This window comes from Homo sapiens, chromosome 2 (assembly GCF_000001405.40).
Source record: "Homo sapiens chromosome 2, GRCh38.p14 Primary Assembly".
Classification (NCBI taxonomy): Eukaryota; Metazoa; Chordata; class Mammalia; order Primates; family Hominidae; genus Homo; species Homo sapiens.
In genome coordinates, this window is record NC_000002.12 from 32,860,531 (window position 1) to 32,866,415 (window position 5,885).

Below are 5,885 nucleotides of genomic sequence, written 5' to 3' on the forward strand. Positions count from 1 at the left end.
ACAGGTTGTTTTCATATCTTTGCTATTGTGAATGATGCTGAAATGAGCATGAGGATCTATATATCTCTTTGACATACTGATTTCAACTCCTTTGGGTATATACCCAGAGTGAGATTGCTGGATCATATGGTAGTTCTATTTTTAGCTTCTTAAGGAAACTCCATACTGTTTTCCAAAATGGCTACACCAGCTGGATGTGGTAGCTCATGCCTGTAACCCCAGCTACTTAGGAGGCTGAGGTGAGAGGATTGCTTGAGGCCAGGGGTTCGAATCTAGCCTGGGCAACATAGTGAGACCCCCCCATCTCTAGAAATAGATGGATAGATGAATAAATAACCAAAATGGCCATACTAATTTATATTCCTACCAACAGTGTACCAGGGTTCCCTTTTCTCTACATCCCGGCCAACACTTACTTTTTTCTTTTTGATAATAGCCATTTAAACAGGTGTAAGGAAATATTGTGATTTTAATTTGCATTTCCCTGATGATTAGAGATGTTGAGCATTTTTCTTGTTGTTTATCTGTTGGCCATTTGTATATCTTGTTTTGAGAAATGTCGTTCTGATCCTTTGCCATTTTAAAGTTGGTTTTTAAATTTTCTTACTATTTACTTGTTTGAGTTCCTTATACATTTTGTGGGGGTTTTGTTTTGTTTTATTTTTCTTAGAGCCAAGGTCTCTGTCACCCAGGCTGGAGTGCAGTGGTGTGGTCATAGCTCACTGCAGCCTTGACCTCCTGGGCTCAAGCAATCGTCTCACATCAGCCTTCCTAATAGCTGGGACCACAGACACATGCCACCACATGCAGCTGATTTTTTTTAAAACTTTTTGTATAGACAGTCTTGCTATATTGCCCAGGTTGGTCTTGCACTCTTGGCTTCAAGCAATCTTCCTGCCTCAGCCTCCCAAAGTTCTAGGATTACAGGTGTGAGCCACTGCGCCTAACCCCTGAGTTCCTTTTTGGATATTAGCCTCTTATCAGATGTATGGTTGCAAATATTTTCTCCAAATCCATGGGTTGTCTCTTCAGTCTTAATTGTTTCCTTCACTGTGCAGAGGATTTTTTAGTTTGATATCTGTTTGTCTATTTTTGCTTTTGTTGCCTCTGCTTCTGTTATCATATCCAAGAAATCATTACCCAGTTTTGTTCCACTCTTTGTACATACCTTCCCCTCTCCAGGTTGTGGCAGTCCTCCTCCTAATACCAATGCCATACCATCCACGATCTTCCTCCCCTCTAGTTACTATTCTGCACTTCACCCCTCAGACATACTGTGCCACTGTGATTGACAGAAGAATTAACCTGGGGAGGAGCTGGGCTGACTTCCAGGGGAGCAGCCCCTGGACCTTAGCCTTGGGAGGATGACACCTGCTGTTTGGTCAGCCCCTTTGCTTGGGGGTCCAGGAGGGATTTTAATTCCAGTAGTGGGAGGTTAAAGCCAGCCCATGGGAAGAGGCTAGTGCCTTGGAGGCTGACAGGAGAGAATGGTGGGGACAGGCTCCCGTTACAAGCCCTTGTACTCACATCCTTGCTTCTGCCTAGAAGTCCATGTTGGGGCCGGGTGCAGTGGCTCGCGCCTGTAATCCCAGCACTTTGGGAGGCCGAGGCAGGCGGATCATGAGGTCAGGAGATCAAGACCATCCTGGCCAACATGGTGAAACCTTGTCTCTACTAAAAATACAAAAATTAGCCGGGCGCGGTGGCGTGTACCTGTAGTCCCAGCTACTCAGTAGGCTGAGGCAGGGAGAATTGCTTGAACCAGGGAGGTGGAGGTTGCAGTGAGCTGAGATCGCGCCATTGCACTCCAGCCTGGCAACAGAGCAAGACTCCATCACAAAACAAATCAAATCAAAACAAAACAAAGAAGCCCATGTTGGGAAGCAGTTGTGAAAGGGGGAGGGTAACTGGTGTATTCTCTTCCGCTTTTTTAGGAGATGGGCAGGGTTATTGTCCAGCATGTCTTTATTTGAAACTGCAAGTAGGAAGGAAACTTCAGAGTCACCAAAATCTCACATCTTTAGTCTACAGGGAAAAAGACTCTCTTAACCTTCAGTAATCATAGAAAAGCCTTGATATTAAGTATTTATTGGTAACTAATATTATTCTTTGGCAATTATTGTGAAATACCTTTTAAAATCCCTTTTGAAGATTATTTTTCTTAAGACATCAGGATCTCTGATGTATTATTCCTTTTTTGTTTTAAACTTTTTAACATATTATTTTGAAATCTGACACTCAAAAGAAGGTGTGAAAATAGTACAGTGAGTAATTTCCTTTATGTTTGTCACCGAACTTTCCCCAGTGATAATGTCTTACATGATCATAGCACATTATCCAAACCAGGAAACTGGCATTAGTACAATACTATTAACTAAACTATAGACCTTATTTGTTCTATTGCCACAAAGAAACTCTCTTGTGCTACCCCTTTGTAGATGTGTTCCATTAGTCTTTTGTGTGTTTGTGTGTGTGTGTGTGTGTGTGTGTGTATGTGTGTGTGTGTGTGACAGAGTCTCACTCTGTCACCCAGGCTGGAGTGCATGGCACGATCTCAGCTCACTGCAACCTCTGCCTCCCAGGTTCAAGCGATTCTCCTGCCTCAGCCTCCCAAGTAGCTGGAATTACAGGCATGCAAAACCACGCCCGGCTAATTTTTGTATTTTTAGTAGAGACAAGGTTTCACCATGCTGGCCAGGTTGGTCTGGAACTCCTGGCCTCAAGTGATCCATCTGCCTCTGCCTCCCAAAGTGCTGGGATTACAGGTGTGAGCTACCACCCCCGGCCCATTAGTCTTTAAAATACTGTTTTTCCTTATTTGAGTGAAAGTTATACTTTATATAAAGTATATGTGATTAGAATCAATGGAGTCTAGTGTAGTGCCATGCATGTAGCAAATTGTGTGGAATTTAAGGCTGAAGAACTAGAGAGGCCTTCTGCAAATATTGACTTGACAGCCCAGGGGCTGTGTGATTTTAGGCAAGGAATGCAACCTCTCTGAGCTTCAGTTTTATCTGTAAAACACAGTTAATGACTCCCACTTTGTAGAGATGCTGAGCAGATTAGATATGAAGCATATGAAGATCCTGGGACGTCCCAGGTTTCCTGTTCATGTTCAATGTCTTAAGTCAGTTTGCCCAGGAAGCCGACTCTGAGATGGAGAAGTGTATGCAGGTCATTTGTTTGGAAAGTGCTTGCAGGATCAACACCTGTGAGCTGGGAGGTACACAGGATTTGACAGAGGGAGAAGTTGAACTATGATGCAGTTGCCATACAAGGCCTCTGAAGATGCTCCAGGGAGCTGGGATGGCCCTCCAAAATTGTCCAGGCCTCTGTACCCCGGCACCAACCAGCTGTTGTATTGTGGGCTGCTCTTGGGGAGGGACGAAATCTTGAGCAGGTCAGCTCCCTTCAGCTGAGCGCAAGACCTGAAGACACAGAACTGTGAGCCTTCGGCATCTAATGCTCCCGGCAGCTGGAGGCTGGGCGTCTTAGTACTGAACAGGAATCTGGGAGCGAGTCACAGCTGCTACTGCAGTCATTATTACCATGATGGCTTTGAGGAAGGAGGACTCAAATGGGGAGACAATTGATCATAGATTTTTCATCCTCCCCACATGTTAGCCATGTTAAACCCAGGCAACTGAATGGCTTGATAACTCCACAAAAAGCTGTTTCTTTTTCTGTTTTAGGGCATTAGAAGGGATCTATTTACATCTTTAGGAAGAGCTATTTTAGAGGAGGGGGAAAAAAAAGCAATGGGTCTCACTCTTCTTTATAGCTGCTGATGGGAATTTCCTAAATTTCTCTTTGCCAGCTCTATAAAAGAACCCCATCGTGTGCAATCCTCCCCTATATAAGGACTGCCTAGAAATGAGTTCTGAAATCAGACTTTTAATGACTTTTCAAGAAATCCCTTCTCAGACTGCCAAGGACGAGTTGGTATCAGAAATATGCAGTAATTGTGTTTATTTAGTAATAGTTGGACGTCTACCAGAAGGCTCTGAGCTAAGGCCACTGGGGGATACCAAAGAAGAGAGGCTAATCCTCCAACCAGAAGGTTCCATTTTGTGCCTTCTCTCAATACATGGCCAATTTGTGATAGAGTAAATAAGGGAATTTTGAAAGCACCAAATTGAGTACTTAGTAGATGTATCATACCTATGGACTGATTATGATCCTTATGGTTCATATTTAAATTTGATTTGGTGTAATCTATAAACATCATGATGTCATGATCCCTTTTCTAAGGGAAAGATCTTACATGCTAGAGTAAAGCACATCTCTTCTGTGCAACATCATGAGTTTTGGAATGGAATAAGTTTTCATGAGTTTTCCTGATTTGTTAGTCTCTCTGGAGCAAATTCCTTTAGCCAGTTATTCAAGCAACTATGTGCCTTTATTTGTTTATAAGATACAGTCCACAGCACATACTAATAGTGAAATGATAACATCCAAGAATTTTCAGCCGGCCACAGTGGCTCATGCCTGTAATTCCAGCACTTTGGGAGGCTGCAACGGAAGGATCATTTGACCAGGAGTTTGAAACCAGCCTGGGCAACATAGCGAAACCTCGTCTCTACAAAAAATTTAAAAAGTAGCTGGGCATTGGGGCACACACCTACAGTCCCAGCTACTTGGGAGACTGAGGCAGGAGGATCATTTGAGCCCAGGAGTTTGAGGCTGTACTCAGCTATGATCATACAACTGCACAGTAGCCTAGGTGACAGAGCAAGACCCTGTTTCTAAGAAAAGGGGAGGGGGTGCATTTTTCTGCCAGAAGGGTTGATAAACACTTTTTGTCTTTCTCTAACATTCATGCTGGGTATTATAGGGTAGATGTCTTCATTAGCACATAGTGTCGTATCTGTGACAAAGGTATAAGACCTCATGCTGCAGGTCACTGTCTACATCTCTCCCTCTGTCTGCCTCTCTCTCTGTTTCTCAGCCAGAGGAGAGCCCCTGCAAGATGGAGGAAGGTGACATTACCCTGGGGGGACTTAAGTGGCACATGTCACCACTTACTTCCTCACTCAAGGAAAAGTCTGGGGAGCAGGAGCAAGATCTGTTGTCCCTTTGTAACCCCACAGGGACTTGCACAAATAGAGTTGGTGATTAATAACTGTTGGAGGCTGAACAGACTTTTCTGTGACCCCTTATTAGCAGTGCCAGGATGCGAAGATTGCTCATCAGCCATGGTGAGCACCACAAATTAGTCATGTTTGGAGGCAGCAGGTTTCTGATGGTTACATCAGAGATCTGGGCTCATTCCTAGAAACATCACTGGGCAATTTTCCTTTTTAAATCAGAATCGATGGTGAACTTATCTACTGGATCAGTTAAAATGTCCTGGTCTGAGAGTCAGACAAGGCCTGAGTTTAGAGGCTTGTGAAGCCACATGACCTTAGATAAGTGGCCAAACCACCTAAAGGTACACTTTTCTCATCAGTTAAGTTGGTTGATACTAACGTTACTGCCCTCATAGGCTTGTTTTGTGAGTCAGATGAGCTAATACCTGCAAAGTGCTGGGCTCACAACAAATGCTTGATAAATGTTGGCTATTATTATCATTATTAGGGTAACCATATGTTTTCTAAATCAAGATACTTTGACAGTTAAGGAGGGCAGAAAAATTAGAATGTTAACTTTTCTAAAAGATTTATTTCTTGACCAGTAAATTGGTTTATATTAGTGGACCTATAAAATAGTTCTATTCAAAAACTATTTTCAAAGATAAAATACTTTCAAAGAAAAAATAGCAGGAAGTCCTAGCCAGAGTAATCAGGCAAGAGAAAGGAAAAAAAGGCATCCAAATAGGAAAAGAAGAAGATAAATTATCTTTCTTCACTGACAATATGATCCTATATCTAGAAAACCCTAAAGAC

General features: G+C 42.9%; 1 annotated feature.

The window, feature by feature from the left end:
* Window positions 5,032-5,326: an enhancer, noted in NCBI's record as "tiled region #6729; K562 Activating non-DNase unmatched - State 7:EnhWF, and HepG2 Activating non-DNase unmatched - State 22:ReprW". NCBI's record gives its function as "activates a minimal TATA promoter and a strong SV40 promoter by Sharpr-MPRA in K562 cells, with weaker activation in HepG2 cells {active_cell/tissue: HepG2 | K562}" and the evidence as "EXISTENCE:reporter gene assay evidence [ECO:0000049][PMID:27701403]".